At 46.0% G+C, this 18,680-nt stretch overlaps 1 protein-coding gene across 8 annotated transcripts in view, besides 3 other annotated features; it reads right to left on the minus strand.

Moving 5' to 3' along the window:
• TK2 (thymidine kinase 2) overlaps positions 12,369-18,680 on the minus strand; it is a 42,289-nt gene continuing 35,977 nt past the window's right edge. For all 8 annotated transcript variants that reach the window (NR_073520.2, NM_001271935.1, NM_001172643.1 and 5 more), the window contains 2 exons: positions 18,097-18,177; positions 12,369-16,432 (listed from right to left, as the gene is read on the minus strand). Coding sequence is in view for 7 of the 8 variants with exons in the window: in NM_001172643.1 (NP_001166114.1) it covers positions 16,334-16,432; positions 18,097-18,177 (180 nt within the window). In the remaining variant the exon portion in view is untranslated. The remainder of the gene's footprint in view (positions 16,433-18,096; positions 18,178-18,680) is intronic.
• Positions 13,692-14,667: an enhancer, noted in NCBI's record as "H3K4me1 hESC enhancer chr16:66543229-66544204 (GRCh37/hg19 assembly coordinates)". NCBI's record gives its function as "activates a minimal SCP1, AML or CMV promoter by ChIP-STARR-seq in primed H9 embryonic stem cells {active_cell/tissue: H9 hESC(primed)}" and the evidence as "EXISTENCE:reporter gene assay evidence [ECO:0000049][PMID:30033119]".
• Positions 15,644-16,619: an enhancer, noted in NCBI's record as "OCT4-NANOG-H3K27ac-H3K4me1 hESC enhancer chr16:66545181-66546156 (GRCh37/hg19 assembly coordinates)". NCBI's record gives its function as "activates a minimal SCP1, AML or CMV promoter by ChIP-STARR-seq in primed H9 embryonic stem cells {active_cell/tissue: H9 hESC(primed)}" and the evidence as "EXISTENCE:reporter gene assay evidence [ECO:0000049][PMID:30033119]".
• Positions 16,620-17,595: an enhancer, noted in NCBI's record as "OCT4-NANOG-H3K27ac-H3K4me1 hESC enhancer chr16:66546157-66547132 (GRCh37/hg19 assembly coordinates)". NCBI's record gives its function as "activates a minimal SCP1, AML or CMV promoter by ChIP-STARR-seq in primed H9 embryonic stem cells {active_cell/tissue: H9 hESC(primed)}" and the evidence as "EXISTENCE:reporter gene assay evidence [ECO:0000049][PMID:30033119]".

Raw genomic sequence — 18,680 nt, forward strand, 5'->3', positions numbered from 1 at the left:
CCCCACCTCCCACCTTCCTCCCTTCCTTCCTTCTATCCATCCAGCCATTCATCCATCCAACCATCCATCCATCCACCCATCCTAATCACTTAGCACAGCATCTGGCAGCCCACAGCCAAGCTGGAGAGCTGTCAGGGTGTGGAGCATTATCGGGAAAGTGAGGGAGCCACACCCCAGCCACAAGCCTCCATCAGGAACATCAAAAACAAGTGAGGCCAGATGCGGTGGCTCATACCTATAATCCCAGCACTTTGGGAGGCCAAGATGGGAGGATCACTTGAGCCCAGGAGTTTGAGACCAGCCTGGACAACATAGTAAGACCTTGTCTCTATTAAAAAAAAAAAATTAGGAGGTGGAGCCAAGATGGCCGAATAGGAACAGCTCCAGTCTACAGCTCCCAGCATGAGCGACGCAGAAGACGGGTGATTTCTGCATTTCCAACTGAGGTACCGGGTTCATCTCACTGGGGAGTGTTGGAAAGTGGGTGCAGGACAGTGGGTGCAGCGCACCAAGCATGAGCCAAAGCAGGGTGAGGCATCGCCTCACCCAGGAAGCGCAAGGGGTCAGGGAATTCCCTTTCCTAGTCAAAGAAAGGGGTGACAGACGGCACCTGGAAAATTGGGTCACTCCCACCCTAATACTGCGCTTTTCCAATGGTCTTAGCAAATGGCACACCAGGAGATTATATCCCGCGCATGGCTCAGAGGGTCCTACGCCCACGGAGCCTCGCTCATTGCTAGCACAGCAGTCTGAGATCAAACTGCAAGGTGGCAGCAAGGCTGGTGGAGAGGCGCCCGCCACTGCCAAGGCTTGAGTAGGTAAACAAAGCAGCCAGGAAGTTCGAACTGGGTGAAGCCCACTGCAGCTCAAGGAGGCCTGCCTGCCTCTGTAGACTCCACCTCTGGGGACAGGGCACAGCCAAACAAAAGGCAGCAGAATCCTCTGCAGACTTAAATGTCCCTGTCTGACAGCTTTGAAGAGAGTAGTGGTTCTCCCAGCATGCAGCTGGAGATCTGAGAATGGACAGACTGCCTCCTCAAGTGGGTCCCTGACCCCTGAGTAGCCTAACTGGGAGGCATCCCCCAGTAGGGGCAGACTGACACCTCACACAGCTGGGTACTCCTCTGAGACAAAACTTCCAGAGGAACGATCAGGCAGCAACATTTGCTGTTCACCAAAATCCGCTGTTCTACAGCCTCTGCTGCTGATACCCAGGCAAACAGGGTCTGGAGTGGACCTCCGGCAAACTCCAACAGACCTGCAGCTGAGGGTCCTGACTGTTAGAAGGAAAACTAACAAACAGAAAGGACATCCACACCAAAACCCCATCTGTACGTCACCATCATCAAAGACCAAAGGTAGATAAAACTACAAAGATGGGGAAAAAACAGAGCAGAAAAACTGGAAACTCTAAAAATCAGAGTGCCTCTCCTCCTCCAAAGGAACACAGCTCCTCACCAGCAACAGAACAAAGCTGGACGGAGAATGACTTTGACGAGTTGAGAGAAGAAGGCTTCAGATGATCAAACTACTCCAGGCTAAAGGAGGAAGTCCAAACCCATGGCAAAGAAGTTAAAAACCTTGAAAAAAAATTAGACGAATGGCTAACTAGAATAATCAATGCAGAGAAGTCCTTAAAGGACCTGATGGAGCTGAAAACCAAGGCATGAGAACTACGTGACGAATGCACAAGCCTCAGTAGCCAATTCGATCAACTGGAAGAAAGGGTATCAGTGATGGAAGATCAAATGAATGAAATGAAGCGAGAAGTTTAGAGAAAAAATAATAAAAAGAACACAGCCTCCAAGAAATATGGGACTATGTGAAAAGACCAAATCTACATCTGATTGGTGTACCTGAAAGTGACGGGGAGAATGGAACCAAGTTGGAAAACACTCTGCAGGATATTACCCAGGAGAACTTCCCCAACCTAGCAAGGCAGGCCAACATTCATATTCAGGAAATACAGAGAATGCCACAAAGATACTCCTTGAGAAGAGCAACTCCAAGACACATAATTGTCAGATTCACCAAAGTTGAAATGAAGGAAAAAATGTTAAAGGCAGCCAGAGAGAAAGGTCGGGTTACCCACAAAGGGAAGCCCATCAGACTAACAGCTGATCTCTCGGCAGAAACTCTACAAGCCAGAAGAGAGTGGGGGCCGATATTCAACATTCTTAAAGGAAAGAATTTTCAACCCAGAATTTCATATCCAGCCAAACTAAGCTTCATAAGTGAAGGAGAAATGAAATACTTTACAGACAAGCAAATGCTGAGAGATTTTCTCACCACCAGGCCTGCCCTAAAAGAGCTCCTGAACGAAGCACTAAACATGGAAAGGAACAACTGGTACCAGCCACTGCAAAAACATGCCAAACTGTAAAGACCACTGAGGCTAGGAAGAAACTGCATCAACTAATGAGCAAAATAACCAGCTAACATCATAATGACAGGATCAAATTCACACATAACAATAATGTAAATGGGCTAAATGCTCCAATTAAAAGACACAGACTGGCAAATTGGATAAAGAGTCAAGACCCATCAGTGTGCTGTATTCAGGAAACCCATCTCACGTGCAGAGACACACATAGGCTCAAAATAAAGGGATGGAGGAAGATCTACCAAGCAAATGGAAAACAAAAAAAGGCAGGGGTTGCAATCCTAGTCTCTGATAAAACAGACTTTAAACCAACAAAGATCAAAAGAGACAAAGAAGACCACTACATAATGGTAAAGGGATCAATTCAACAAGAAGAGCTAACTATCCTAAATATATATGCACCCAATACAGGAGCACCCAGATTCATAAAGCAAGTCCTTAGAGACCTACAAAGAGACTTAGACTCCCACACAATAATAATGGGAGACTTTAACAACCCACTGTCAACATTAGACAGATCAACGAAACAGAAAGTTAACAAGGATATCCAGGAATTGAACTCAGCTCTGCACCAAGCGGACCTAATAGACATCTACAGAACTCTCCACCCCAAATCAACAGAATATAATTCTTTGCAGCACCACACCGCACCTATTCCAAAATTGACCACATACTTGGAAGTAAAGCACTCCTCAGCAAATGTAAAAGAACAGAAATGATAACAAACTGTCTCTCAGACCACAGTGCAATCAAACTAGAACTCAGCATTAAGAAACTAACTCAAAACCGCTCAACTACATGGAAACTGAACAACCTGCTCCTGAATGACTGCTGGGTACACAACGAAATGAAGGCAGAAATAAAGATGTTCTTTGAAACCAACGAGAACAAAGACACAACATACCAGAATCTCTGGGACACATTCAAAGCAGTCTGTAGGGGGAAATTTATAGCACTAAATGCCCACAAGAGAAAGCAGGAAAGATCTAAAATTGACACCCTAACATCACAATTAAAAGAACTAGAGAAGCAAGAGCAAACACATTCAAAAGCTAGCAGAAGGCAAGAAATAACTAAGATCACAGCAGAACTGAAGGAGATAGAGACACAAAAAACCTTTCAAAAAAATCAATGAATCCAGGAGCTAGATTTTTGAAAAGAACAACAAAATTCATAGACTGCTAGCAAGATTAATAAAGAAGAAAAGAGAGAAGAATCAAATAGATGCAACAAAAAATGATAAAGGGGATTATCACCACCGATCCCACAGAAATACAAACTACCATCAGAGAATACTATAAACACCTCTACGCAAATAAACTAGAAAATCTAGAAGAAATGGATAAATTCCTCGACACATACACCATCCCAAGACTAAACCAGGAAGAAGTTGAATCCCTGAATAGACCAATAATAGGCTCTGAAATTGAGGCAATAATTAATAGTTTACCAACCAAAAAAAGTCAAGGACCAGATGGATTCACAGCCGAATTCTACCAGAGGTACAAGGAGGAGCTGGTACCATTCCTTCTGAAACTATTCCAATCAATAGAAAAAGAGGGAATCCTCCCTAACTCATTTTGTGAGGCCAGCATCATCCTGATACCAAAGCCTGGCAGAGACACAACAAAAAAAGAGAATTTTAGGCCAATATCCCTGATGAACATCGATGCAAAAATCCTCAATAAAATACTGGCAAACTGAATCCAGCAGCACATCAAAAAGCTTATCCGCCACGATCAAGTGGGCTTCATCCCTGGGATGCAAGGTTGGTTCAACATACACAAATCAATAAACGTAATCCAGCATATAAACAGAACCAAAGACAAAAACCATATGATTATCTCAATAGATGCAGAAAAGGCCTTTGACAAAATTCAACAACTCTTCATGCTAAAAACTCTCAATAAATTAGGTATTGATGGGACATATCTCAAAATAATAAGAGCTATCTATGACAAACCCACAGCCAATATCATACTGAATGGGCAAAAACTGGAAGCATTCCCTTTGAAAACTGGCACAAGACAGGGATGCCCTCTCTCACCACTCCTATTCAACATAGTGTTGGAAGCTCTGGCCAGGGCAATCAGGCAGGAGAAGGAAATAAAGGGTATTCAATTAGGAAAAGAGGAAGTCAAATTGTTCCTGTTTGCAGATGACATGATTGTATTTGTAGAAAACCCCATTGTCTCAGCCCAAAATCTCCTTAGGCTGATAGGCAACTTCAGCAAAGTCTCAGGATGCAAAGTCTCAGGATACAAAATCAATGTGCAAAAATCACAAGCATTCTTATACACCAATAATAGACAGAGAGCCAAATCATGAGTGAACTCCCATTCACAATTGCTTCAAAGAGAATAAAATACCTAGGAATCCAACTTACAAGGGACGTGAAGGACTTCTTCAAGGAGAACTACAAACCACTGCTCAATGAAATAAAAGAGGATAAAACAAATGGAAGAACATTCCATGCTCATGGGTAGGAAGAATCAATATCATGAAAATGGCCATACTGCCCAAGGTAATTTATAGATTCAATGCCATCCCCATCAAGCTACCAATGACTTTCTTCACAGAATTGGAAAAAACTACTTTAAAGTTCATATGGAACCAAAAAAGAGCCCACATTGCCAAGTCAATCCTAAGCCAAAAGAACAAAGCTGGAGGCATCACGCTACCTGACTTCAAACTATACTACAAGGCTACAGTAACCAAAACAGCATGGTACTGGTACCAAAACAGAGATATAGACCAACGGAACAGAGCAGAGCCCTCAGAAATATTGCCGCATATCTATAACCATCTGATCTTTGACAAACCTGATAAAAACAGGAAATGGGGAAAGGATTCCCTATTTAATAAATGGTGCTGGGAAAACTGGCTAGCCATATGTAGAAAGCTGAAACTGGATCCCTTCCTTACACCTTATACAAAAATTAATTCAAGATGGATTAAAGACTTAAATGTTAGACCTAAAACCATAAAAACACTAGAAGAAAACCTAGGCAATACCATTCAGGACATAGGCATGGGCAAGGACTTCATGTCTAAAACACCAAAAGCAATGGCAACCAAAGCCAAAATTGACAAACGGGATCTCATTAAACTAAAGAGCTTCTGCACAGCAAAAGAAACTACCATCAGAGTGAACAGACAACCTACAGAATGGGAGAAAATTTTTGCAATCTACTTATCTGACAAAGGGCTAATATCCAGAATCTACAATGAACTCAAACAAATTTACAAGAAAAAAAACAAACAACCCCATCAAAAAGTGGGCAAAGGATATAATAGACACTTCTCGAAAGAAGACATTTATGCAGCCAAAAGACACATGAAAAAAATGCTCATCATCACTGGCCATCAGAGAGATGCAAATCAAAACCACAATGAGATACCATCTCACACCAGTTAGAATGGTGATCATTAAAAAGTCAGGAAACAACAGGTGCTGGAGAGGATGTGGAGAAATAGGAACACTTTTACACTGTTGGTGGGACTGTAAACAAGTTCAACCGCTGTGGTAGTCAGTGTGGCGATTCCTCAGGGATCTAGAACTAGAAATACCATTTGACCCAGCAATCCCATTACTGGATATATACCCAAAGGATTATAAATCATGCTGCTATAAAGACACATGCACATGTATGTTTATTGCAGCATTATTCACAATAGCAAAGACTTGGAACCAAGCCAAATGTCCAACAATGATAGACTGGATTAAGAAAATGTGGCACATACACACCATGGAACACTATGCAGCCATAAAAAATGACGAGTTCATGTCCTTTGTAGGGACATGGATGAAGCCGGAAACCATCATTCTCAGCAAACTATCGCAAGGACAAAAAACCAAACACCACATGTTCTCACTCATAGGTGGGAACTGAACAATGAGAACACATGGACACAGGAACGGGAACATCACACACTGGGGCCTGTTGTGGGGTGGGGGGACGGGGGAAGGATAGCATTGGGAGATATACCTAATGTTAAATGACGAGTTAATGGGTGCAGGACACCAAGATGGCATATGTATACATATGTAACTAACCTGCACGTTGTGCACATGTACCCTAAAACTTAAAGTATAATTTAAAAAAAAAATTAAAATTAGCCAGCCATGTAGTCCCAGCTACTCAGGAGGCTGAGATGGGAGGACTGATTGAGCCCAGGAGCTCAAGGCTGCAGTGAGCCGTGATTACACCACTGCACTCCAGCCTGGGTGACAGAGTGAGACCCTGTCTCTTAAAATAAATAAATGGAAAAAAAAAAGAACAGGCTGATCTGGAGGCAGAGCAGGTCAGCAATCTCAGGAGGATGAGGCAAGAGGTTGCGTCAGCTTGGAACCATGACAGCCACTCCAAGGCATATCCCCCAGGGCACCTGACCTGCAGCAAAGGAACCTGGGAGAGCAACTTAGGCCAAGGATTCCAGGGGCAGGAAAGGCGAGCTAATTATTTTTTTTTTATTCATTCTTTTCTGACCATTAACATAATAAGCATGCTTATTCCAAACCAAAACAGAACTTTTGCTCTCTCCACTAAGCCTGCCGCTCCCGCATTCCCCATCTGGGTAAATGAGTCCACCATCCACTCACTCACTCCAATCCAATGCAGACATCACCCTTGACCAACATATATCTCTCTCTCCTCTCTCTTTCCTCCTCCCCCCGCTCTCTCTCTCTATCACATCCTTCATCCAATTCCTAGCTCCTCTCTTTCACAACAGAGTCTGAATCCAACCCCTTCCCCCCTCCTTCCACAGTAACCAAATTCACCATCCTCTCTCACTCACGTCCCTGGAGGCTGCCAGCCTTCTGCAGCCTGTGCTCCACCCGAATGCTGGAGGATTCCGTTAAACCTACATTAGGGCTGTGCGTGGTGGCTCATGCCTGTAATTCCAGCACTTTGGAAAGCTGAGGTGGGAGGACTGCTTGAGTCCAGGAGTTTGGGACCAGCCTGGGCAACACAGAAAGACCCCGTCTCTATATATTTAAAAAATAAAATAAAATAGAAAATGTTAAAAAAAACAAAACAAAACAAAAAAAAACCACCTACATTTGATCATGATTCTCATGTGTTCAGTTCCCTCCAGGGGTGCCCGAGGCCATATCAAGTCCCAGGCTCAGCCCCTCACTTTCCCTCTGAACTCATCTCAGGTCCCTTCCCCATTGTCCGCTGTAGCCAGAGCCACCCTGGCTTCTGCAAGGTTCTGGAACATGCTGAGCCTGGCCCTATTCCCAGCCTCTGCACAGACTGTTCCCTCTGCTCTGTCTCCCTACCCTACCCTGCCATGTTCTCTTCCTTGTTATTCACATCTCCCCTTAAATGTCACCTTCTCAGAGAGGCCCCCTCTGACCATCTATCACATCAGCTTAATTTTCTGCACAAAGATTTTAATTCATGTATTCATTTTCCATTTCCCCCCATTAGAAGATAAGCTCCATGAGAGATAAACTTCATCTTGTCTCATTCACCGTTATTTCCAAGGATCCACCATATTAAACCATCAAATGAGTAGAAAACTTAGAAAGTACAGATGAATATGAAAACGAAAGCAAACCTTACCATAATTTCCACCATTCAGCGATACCCAATGTCACCACATTCCTGCAATTCCTCCCAGTCTTTTTTCTATATACGCATATATTAAACATTTGGGATTGTAATATTTACAGTGTTGTGCTCTGCCTTTATTTCCCATGAAGGGCGTTATTCTAACTAATTTTAGATGGAGAGAAAAGTTGCAAAATAGTACAAAGAACTCCTTTCCACTCCTGGCCCTGCTTCTCCTAAAGTTGACATCTTACGTAACCATAGTATAATGATCAAGAACAGGAAATTAATATTGATACAATGTTCTTAACTATACTACAAACCTTATTTAAGTTTCCCCAGTGTTCCATTAATATCCTTTCTCTATTCCAGGAGCATATACAGGATCCCACATTGCACTGAAGTTGACATCTTATGTAACCATAATATAATGATCAAGAACAGGAAATTAATATTGATACAATGTTATTAACGATACTACACATATTATTTAAGTTTCCTAGTGTTCTATTAAAATCCTTTCTCTATTCCAGGAGCCCATCCAGGATCCCACATTGCATTTGTATATTTTCCTTTGTCTCCTCCAGTCTGTAATAGTTCTTGTTTTTTCCTTGTCTAACACGATCTTGATGCTTTTAAAGAGTTTTTTCCAATCAGTTATTTTGTTGAATGTCCCTCCATTTGGGTTTGTCTGGTGCTTTCTTAATACTGGAGTCAAGTATGCATTTCTGGCAAGGATACCACACCAAAAAAACAAATGATGCTGCCAGGCATGATGGCTCACACTGTAATCCCAGCACTTTCAGAGGCCAAGGCAGGCAGATCACTTGAGCTCAGGAGTTCAAGTCCAGCCTGGGCAACATGACAAAAGCCCTATTCTACAAAAAATACAAAAAATGGCCGGGCGCGGTGGCTCACGCCTGTAATCCCAGCACTTTGGGAGGCCGAGGCGGGCGGATCACGAGGTCAGGAGATCGAGACCATCCCGGCTAAAACGGTGAAACCCCGTCTCTACTAAAAATACAAAAAAATTAGCCGGGCGTAGTGGCGGGCGCCTGTAGTCCCAGCTACTTGGGAGGCTGAGGCAGGAGAATGGCGTGAACCCGGGAGGCGGAGCTTGCAGTGAGCCGAGATCCCGCCACTGCACTCCAGCCTGGGTGACAGAGCGAGACTCCGTCTCAAAAAAAAAAAAAAAAAAAAAAAAAAAAATTAGCCAGCCTGGTGGCACACACCTGTAGTCCCAGCTCCCCGGGAAGCTGAGGAGGATCACCTGAGCCCAGGAGGTCGAGGCTGCAGTGAGCTGTGATTGCGCCACTGCATTCCAGCCTGGGTGACAGAGTGAGACCCTGTCTCAAAAAAAAAAAAAAAAAAAAAAAAGATGCTGTCCTCAGTGCATCTTTGTAAAGGCTTCATGATGTCACTACGTCTTATTACCTTAATCACTTATTAAGCTGGTTTCTATGGGGTTTCCATCTCCACTGTCAAATTAGTTAATTTCTTTCCCTTTTTACTTGATAAGTATATTAGGGGAAATAGAAACTATGCAAATCTTGTTTTTCCTCAAACTTCTGTCCACTAATTTTAGTATCAACAGGTAAATCTTGTCTGTGATTTTATATATATATATATATATATTTTTTTTTTTTTTTTTTTTTTTTTTTTTTCCCTAGACGGAGTCTCCCTCTGTCACCTAGGCTGGAGTGCAGTGGCACGATCTCGGCTGACTGCAAGCTCCGCCTCCTGTGTTCACGCCATTTTCCTGCCTCAGCCTCCAGAGTAGCTGGGACTACAGGCGCCCGCCACCATGCCCAGCTAATTTTTTGTATTTTTAGTAGAGACAGGGTTTCACCGTGTTAGCCAGGATGGTTTCGATCTCCTGACCTTGTGATCCGCCTGCCTCGGCCTCCCAAAGTGCTGGGATTACAGGCGTGAGCCACCGCACCTGGCCTGTGATTTTTTAACTGTGGTGTTTATGTAATGGCAAGTCTCTGTTTCCCTCTTGCCTTTTGTGTGTATTAACTGGAAATCTACCATAAGGAAGCACTCCCTTTCTTCCCTGTTTACTTATTTCTTCAACTGTTTATATCAGCATGGATTCGTGGATATTTATTTTAGTCTATGTGTTAGAATCCAATACTAACATAATTTATTTTGTTCCTCAAACTGTTCCAGCTTTGGCCGTTAGGAACTTCAGGCAAGCTCCTCAATTCCCTTGACATGGCTCCATCATCCCCCCACATCCCTGCACTTTCTTTCTAGCACCACAAGATATTCCAGGGTCATCCTGTCATTCCCCTGTGGCATCCCTGGAATCAACCACATCTCCTAGGAGACCTGGTTCCTTTTGCAGGAGAATGATGTTTGGAGACCAAGAACTGGGTACCGGGTGTGCTCACTGTTACTGGGTGCCATTGCCTCTAGACACACTCAGGACAGAGCTAGGAAACATAAGTATGTATACTAAGCACACATAAACACACACACACACACACACACACATCTATATTTCTGTATCCATCTATATATAATTTTATTTATTATTTATTTAGAGACAGGGTCTTCCTTTGTTACCCAGGCTGGAGTGCAGTGGTACAATCACAGCTCTCTTCAGCCTTGAACCCCTGGACTCGATCTATTCTCACATCTCAGCGTCCCAAGTAGCTGGGACTACAGGCGCACACCATCACACCTGGCTAATTTTTGTATTTTTTGTAGAGATGGGGTTTTGCCACATTGCCCAGGCTGATCTCTAACTCCTGGGCTCAAGCTATTCACCTGCCTTGGCCTCCCAAAGTGCTGGGATTACAAGAGTGAGCCACCAGAGCCTAAAATTTTAAAATCATGAGTTTAGACTGACACCTCCTATTCTAACCCAGCACCACGGGGTTTATTCTAGACCCCTATCATTTGTAACCTCTTTCACTAACAGTAAGAAATCCAGCCCTCATAGTCTACAATCTATTTACTTGTTTGTTCAACTTTAGTATACATAGTTTCAGAATCACTAACCTATACTCCTGTGAGAAACATTTTTTTTTGCCCATTGCAACCTCTGCCTCCTGGGTTCAAGCAATTCTCAGCCTTCCGACATAGCTGGGATTACAGGCGTGCACCACCACGCCCGGCTAATTTTTGTATTTTTAGTAGAGACAGGGTTTCACCATGTTGGCCAGGCTGGTCTCTAACTCCTGACCTCAGGTGATCCGCCCATCCTGGCCTCCCAAAGTGCTGGGATTACAGGTGTGAGCCACCACGCATGGTCGAGAAACATTTTTAATAACTATACTACAACTTTTATGTACAGAAATTTTTGCCTTTACTCTTACCATATCCAGTAAAGATACTGTTTTCCACAGTTATTTGTTAGTTCTGTTCTTTCCTGCCCCCTTCAGTATGGTTATGTTACTCACCTGCGGTATGGTGGAGTTCATCTGTAATTTTGTTTTCTGTTTTCCCTACATCCTGGTTGCTCTTATTTATTTTGGCAGTATGTGAAGGGTATGTGAAACATTGCTACATCACAGTATGTAACAGTCAGTTATAGAAAAAGACATTTCAGGCTGGGTGCAGCGGTTCACTAATCCCAGTACTTTGGGAGACCAAGGTGGGCATATCACTTGAGAGCAGCCAGGCCAAACTGGGGAAACCCTGTCTCTACTATTAGCCAGGCGTAGTGGCACACACCTGTAATCCCAGCTACTCAGGAGGCTGAGGCACGAGAATCACTTGAGCCTGGGAGGTGGAGCTTGCAGTGAGCCAAGATCACACCACTGCACTCCAGCCTGGGTGACAGGGCGAGACCCTGTCTCAAAAAAATAAATAAATAAAATAAAAAGATATTTCAAAGAAGTGTCATTCCCTTCTCATCCCTGTAGCCCAGTCTCATCCTTCCCTTCTTTCTAGCCTTTACCCACCAACCTATTTTGTCTCTGGGCGTCCTTCCTATATTTCCTTTGCATCTGTGTATTTTCTTCTATCGGTTTTCTTTTTATTTTTCGAGATGGAGTTTCATTCTTGCTGCCCAGACTGGAGTGCAATGGCGCAGTCTCGGCTCACTGCAGCCTCCAACTCCTGGGTTCAAGTGATTCTCTTGCCTCAGCCTCTCAAATAGTTGGGATTACAGGTGCCCACCACCACGCCTGGCTAACTTTTTTGTATTTTTGGTAGAGATGGGGTTCCCCCATGTTGCAGGCTGGTCTTGAACTCCTGACCTCAGGTGATCCACCCACCTCCCAAAGTGCTGGGATTACAGGCGTGAGCTACCACGCCTGGCCTCTCTTCTTTCTAATATAAAGGGTAGCATACTATAGACACTCGTTTGGGCATTGCATTTTTCACATAACTTTATGTCCTAGACATTACTTCATAACCATTCAGAGAGATCTTCCTCATTCTTCTGTATAGCTGCACAGTACTCCACCATGTGAATGGAAAATGGTTTATTTGACCACTCTCTTATGTATGCATCTTTAGATTGTTACCAATATTTTGTAATGATTAACCATCTCCCAGGACACCTGTGTTCCACAGAGCCCAGTCTGGTAAACAACAGTCTTAAAGAAAAAAAAAGAAAAGACACAGAAAGAAATTCAAGACAGCTTCTGTGGACAGCAGTGAATGGCAATACCCATTCTGGATTCCACGACATAGGCTTTCTCTTAGCTTCTGTTTAATGATAGCTTTTGCCAAGTTCACCATCTTATGTAAACTAAAGGAACACGAAATTCACTCTAGCCTTAGGAAAGCTGAGGGGATGGGATTATTAGGAAAAGAAAGTGTGTGCCAGTAACCCTGAGGCCTTCAGTGAGTAATCCTGGCCAAGCCCAGGGCAGCCAGGGATGTATTATTGCTATTCCATTCTGAACAATGGATGACTGACATTTGCAAGAGCTTGCCAATTATTTTAATAACTAACTCTTCAGGGTGGAGAGGGCCAAGGAGATGGGTGTTCCTCATTCCACACACATGTGAACACTTGAGGGAGCTCCCCACCCCAGGGCTCTAGGAAAAAAGAAGTGATTCAGATTCCATAGCACCCTGTGGGTAGACAGGTTTCAGGACCACCTTTTACCTGCTCTGAGGTTTAAATGGCACCACCGTCACTCGGGTCTAATGGTGCATGTCTGCAGGAAGATTGTTCTGACTGATATATTCCCCAGGCGGGGGGACACTTCTCATCTAGGTAAAGGGCTCCTACGGAAATGAAAGGGGCAGAAAGAGAAAGTGAAAAGTAAAAACAAGCTGGGTAATGTTTCCAGAGGTCCACATTCACTCGTTTGTAAATTCGGTCACTCATGTTATTGGAACAAGGATGAGGTGGTTTCATTCCTCACAGAGTTAGGCCTTGCAAGGGACATTACGGTACGGGATGGGAATGGTGAGGGTGAGGATGAGGGTGGGATGACGTGGGGGCAGAGGGGAGAGGGAGGTGAAGCCCAAAGGACCCCACGGCGCTGATGCCAGGTCATGTGACCCGGTCTATGGGTGGGCACTGCCCTCTTGCCTTTCCCCCCACCTCCCAGGGCCTCTAGCAAAGCCTCGTAAGAACCTTCCAGCTTATCTTAGTTATGCCTTGGAAAGGGACATTACCAGCATCTGGATTAAAGAGTGGATGGGGAGCAGTGGGCTCTGATGCCAACCGTGCCCAGAGCAGGAGCTCCAGCTGCCATCCTGGACAGTCAGGCCCCAGAGGAAGGAAGCCAGGAGCCAAGAGGTGGACCCAAAAGAGAAAGGTGGGAAGAGCCTGGGACCCCGATGGCCACTAAGCCACCACAAAGCCCTGGACCACCCCACTACACACTTCTTTTATGTAAAAGATAAATATATTTCTATCTAGTTTCCAAAAAAAACCAGGTACATAAGGTATTTTTAAATGGTTATAATCATATATTTTACATGTACTGTCAAAAAGCTTAAATAAAAGCTGAAATAAATGCTAATTGAAAGAAAATGTATATGTGCAACAAAAAAGTCAGCGAGAGGTAGAGCAGCTGAGCAGCTCTGCGGTGTACTGACTTCATGTCCCCATGGAACTCCAGTCTCACAGCAAGGATGAGGTGAGCCCAACATATCTGGAATGTCACTGCCCTGGGTGGCCCCTCTGGCTCTACAGGGATGCCAGCCCCTGCCATGCCCCTCCCAGCCATGACCCCCCAGTGCTCTAAGGACAAGGCCCTGTTGTGCCCATGTGCCATCTGCCCTTCTCCTGCCCTGGTCCATGGTGTCTATGACTGCTCTGTGACCCCTGCCCCCACCAGCTCTGCCTGCCGCAGAGGGACAGCAGCCCTTGTGCAAGCTGGCTTCAGCCGTTTCAGGTGTGGTCTCTAGGCTGGGAGATTTTGCGACCTGCCCTGGCCACTGCTGATGCGTCCAGCCTCCTCTCCAAGGTGGAAGGCAGGGAGGACAGCAGGCTCTCTTAGACCCATACACTCCACGTTAGGAAACACGGAGTTTGAAAAATAAAAACACGTTAATCTACTGGCAAAAGCAGCTGGCAGAAGCTAAAATCACTGGCCTAGGAAGCACTTCAAAATCAACAACAGGGCTTAGGTGAAGGAGTTATTGGGTATCACAGAGCAAGAAAAAAATCATGGGTACGTGGTCTCAGGACCTCTTGAGATTGTGCCTTAGGCAAAAAAAAAAAAAAAAAAAGAGAGAGAAATCACATTTCCCCAAAAATGGATGTGCAAAATGAGCCGAGAGGAAATATTGGACTGTTCATTTACAAATTCTCAAAGACAGACCCCACATGTCAAGATTCCTGGTAGCAAAGGTTCTGCCTTCGCCAGTTTTCCAGCTAATTAGCAGCACGTGGGCTACAGGTGCTGCTAGACACAGCTCCCGCCTGGCTGCTGCCTCTCATCCTGCCAATGGCACAAGAACTGGTCCAAACAGGAAGAACCAGGAGTTGCAGGCCTTGACTTCCTAACTCTCTGGGACTGGCCCAGCAGGGGCACTTGGCACCTCTGCAGAGTCGGAGCATTGCATGCACAGGTGCCCACACTCACAGGGGCCTGGGAGCGGCCTTGCTACCTCTATTTACAGCCAACAGCTGCTCTGAGAGGCTGTGGCCTGTTTCTCCAGAGTTGAGCCTTAATCCTTTCCAGGGTTTGCATCTAGTCTTCTTGAAGCTCTCTCTGCCCACCTCCAAAGCTTCAGGACCAGCAATGCTTCCAGAGCCTTTATTTGCAAATCCCAACTTTCCAGACTATCCCCAAAGGGAACGTTCTTTCTTTCTCTTGTTTTCTGCTTGATCCAAGGGGCAGCCTCGCCTTCAATGCAGTCCAGCTGAGTGAAGCTAAGGTATTTTCTGAGCCAACAAAGATGATTTCAGGCTCTATGGCTCGAGGCATTTCCCTGGATGAAATAACACTTCAAAAAGACTTAAGGCCACTTGTGTCTCTCTCTTGGGCCACAGACTTTCAGTAATTCCAAGAGCAAAGCTCCTTATACAAGGACACAGACAGTACGGGAGCCTTGGAAGCCAGGGCTGGCTGCCCCTTGCCCCAGCTTGGCTCTGGGCAAACCAGCCAGGCACCAAAAGCGACTTCCCTGACATGGAGTTGGCAGCAGTTCAAGCAGGACCTTAATCACCAAGGAGACTGAGCACCCTTCAGGAGCCAGCATGTGAATCTCAATGTCCACATGAAGATGTGGTAGATGGGGCTGCAGCGACCTCGGGCAGGGAAACCACTGAACACCGGGCTCCAGCCAAATGCAGCATAATTTTGTGGAAGTCTAGAAATGCTGACTGTCCTTGGGAACTGCTCAATATTGGGAAAATGTTATCAGCTCCGCACACTGCCAGCTCTCCCCAAAGAGACATGAGAGCCTCCAACCGGAAGAGGCAGGGCGGTGGGGAACAGCTCTCAGGAGGAGGCAGCCCAGGGCAAGGGAAAGTTGCTGAGTCGGCTGAAAGTCTGAATGGTGCCAGCTCCACTGCACACAGGCTGTGTGACCTCTGGGGAGCCCCTCAACCTTTCTGAGCTTCAAATTCCTCACCTGGGATATAAGACTCCTACCTCGGCCTCCTAATGAAGGCTGAGACGATTGGTACACAGCTCCAGCGTGGTGTCAGGCACACAACAGGTGCTCTCCCTAAGGGCTTCATGAGAGCGACTCAGCAGCACAAAGCCATGGGAGAGGCACCGGGGGAATGTGAGGCTGCGAACAGCAAAGGGCTTGGCAAACCCATTGGTCCCGTTTGTCATTTACCCACGAGGGCCAGAGACGCATGACAAAGACACTAGCAAAGGAGATGAGACCATTAGGAAAATCAAGCTGGCCAGACACAAAGCCCTCCTGGGAGCAAGTTTTTCCAGATTGCTCCCAATAGCTAACTTGGCAGCAGCAGGCATTTTTCAGACATGAGCCATAGACCTTTTGCCTCCTATGGGCAATGCTTCCGATTCTCTGGAGTTAATATTCGATCCCGATTTTGTTCAAAGAGTTCTAACATCCTCTCCATGTGGTGGTCAGCCTCAATCACCTGGAAATTAGACACATGGGTCACAAGGCTGCACTGACCTCAGCAGCATCCTCCTTTCACAGCTGGAGACAGACAGATGGAAGCAGGCAGCAGGGGGCAGGGAAGGGCACAGAAGGTTGCAGGCAGATAAAAAGGAAGGTTAGAGCCAAATCGCTTTCAGCTCTAGGGCAATCTACATTTCCAATGAGGTTTTCACTTAAGAATGTACTACAAGAGCTAGGTATGGTGGCTCATGTCTATTATCCAAGCACTTTGGGAGGCTGAGACCTGAAGATTACACGAGCCCAGGAGTTTGAGACCAGCCTGGGCAACACAGTGAGACCCTGTAAGCTCATGAATGATTTGTTTTTTTCCCTCATCACTTTCTACCCTCCTTTTTTTCCATAATGAGGGAGAAAAATAAGCTGTACTTATTTAAAAATCTACTACAGTAGGCCGGGTGCAGTGGCTCACGCCTGTGATCCCAGAATTTTGGGAGGCCGAGGCAGGCAGATCACTTGAGGCCAGGAGTTTGAGACCAGCTTGGCCAACGTGGCAAAATCCCATCTCTACGAAAAATATAAAAAATTATCCAGGCATGGTGGCATGCGCCTGTAGTCCCAGCTATTCAGGAGGCTGAGGCAAGAGAATCATTTGAACCCAGGAGGCAGAGGTTGCAGCGAGCCGAGATTGCGTCACTGCATTCCAGTCTGGGCAACAGAGTGAGGCTCTGTCTCAAAAACAAACAAACAAAAAATTACTACAGTAATATCTCACTTTCCGGCAACCTCACTGCCTGCAAGAGCCATAAGCAGAAGTGTTTGAGCCCAAACAGATATTCCTATGGCCACGCACAAAAGCTCATGCACAGCCCTGCCTCACATCCCATCAAACAATGCTCCTATAGCCATGCACCAAAGCTTGCGCACAACCCTGCCTCACAGCCAATCCCATGTTGTATATGTAACCATCTTAGGTTCCCTCCAATCAAGACTCGGAGGGACCCCAGACTCCGCATTTCTTGGGAGCATCTGGGCCACTGCTTATTTGTCTGAGTAAAGAAATCTGGAAACAGCAAACTGGAAAACAAGGAGATGGGGAAGTAAGGAAATGCTGACGGGACAGACACATCAATATCAGTCAGAAATGACACATGGCAGCAAGAGAAAGGAGGATTACTGTAAAAAGTAAACACAGGAACGCAGAGACATTAGTGGGCAGGGCAGACAGTTCCACACACCTCAGCATTCCTAAGGGCATCACTGTGTGACAGCCCAGACCAGACAATGACATTCCTTCTGATGACCTGAGTCACCAAACAAAGGTGAAATGAGGCTCTGTGTCATCCACGGAAGGAGGAAGGTCACATCAGAGGAACTACTATCCCAAATGGTGAAAACTGAGACCCGGGTCTAGAGTCTTCGCTGAAGATGCTGGATCAGTGACAACTGCCAGGTGTGATGGCACTGGCACAGACTGCCTTCCCTCGGGTCTGGCCAACTCACTCTGAGACTCAGCCCAGAAACAGGCACTGGGAGAGAGAGCACCAGCCTTCCCACCTTCCTTCTTCTAAGTTGTCAAACTCTAAAGGACTGTGCCCTCCCCTGTCTGCAAGGTGGCTGACATTCCCCGGGTCACTCCTCTTTCTAGAACAGTCTCGTACCCTGTAAGGGAGTCTTACTTACCAGAACAGGGGCTGCCATGGGGAAAAGGCTGCCTTTGATGAGCCACTCCTCATGGAGATGGTGAATTGCTTCCAGGTATTCCTGCCAGGGAAACACAAGCAGTCTGTCGGGAGTGGACAGAGCAGACCCCACCTACCAAGGGTGTCAAGCAGAGGGGGTCAAAGTAGTCAATGACCATGGGCAGTGACTCAGACAAAGGAACCCTGCAAGAGCAAACCTGGCTCAAGTGGACAGCGGCAGACGCAGCCACACACTCGGTGGCCAGGCTGAGCAAAACAGCACAAGTGTCACCAGCCACCCTGCTCTGCTCCACTGGGGGTTCGTGGGCACAAACACTGGCCCTTCCCCTGGCGCCTGAATCAAAGCCAAGGCAAAAGGCAGGACCCCCTCCCCCTCCCCCTCTCCCTCTCCCCTTTGCACGGTTTCCCTCTGATGCCCAGCCGAGGCTGGACTGTACTGCCGCCAACTCGACTCACTGCAACCTCCCTGCCTGATTCTCCTGCCTCAGCCTGCCAAGTGCCTGGGATTGCAGGCGCGCACCGCCATGCCTGACTGGTTTTCGTATTTTTTGGTGGAGACGGGGT

This window comes from Homo sapiens, chromosome 16 (genome assembly GCF_000001405.40).
Source record: "Homo sapiens chromosome 16, GRCh38.p14 Primary Assembly".
Taxonomy (NCBI): domain Eukaryota; kingdom Metazoa; phylum Chordata; class Mammalia; order Primates; family Hominidae; genus Homo; species Homo sapiens.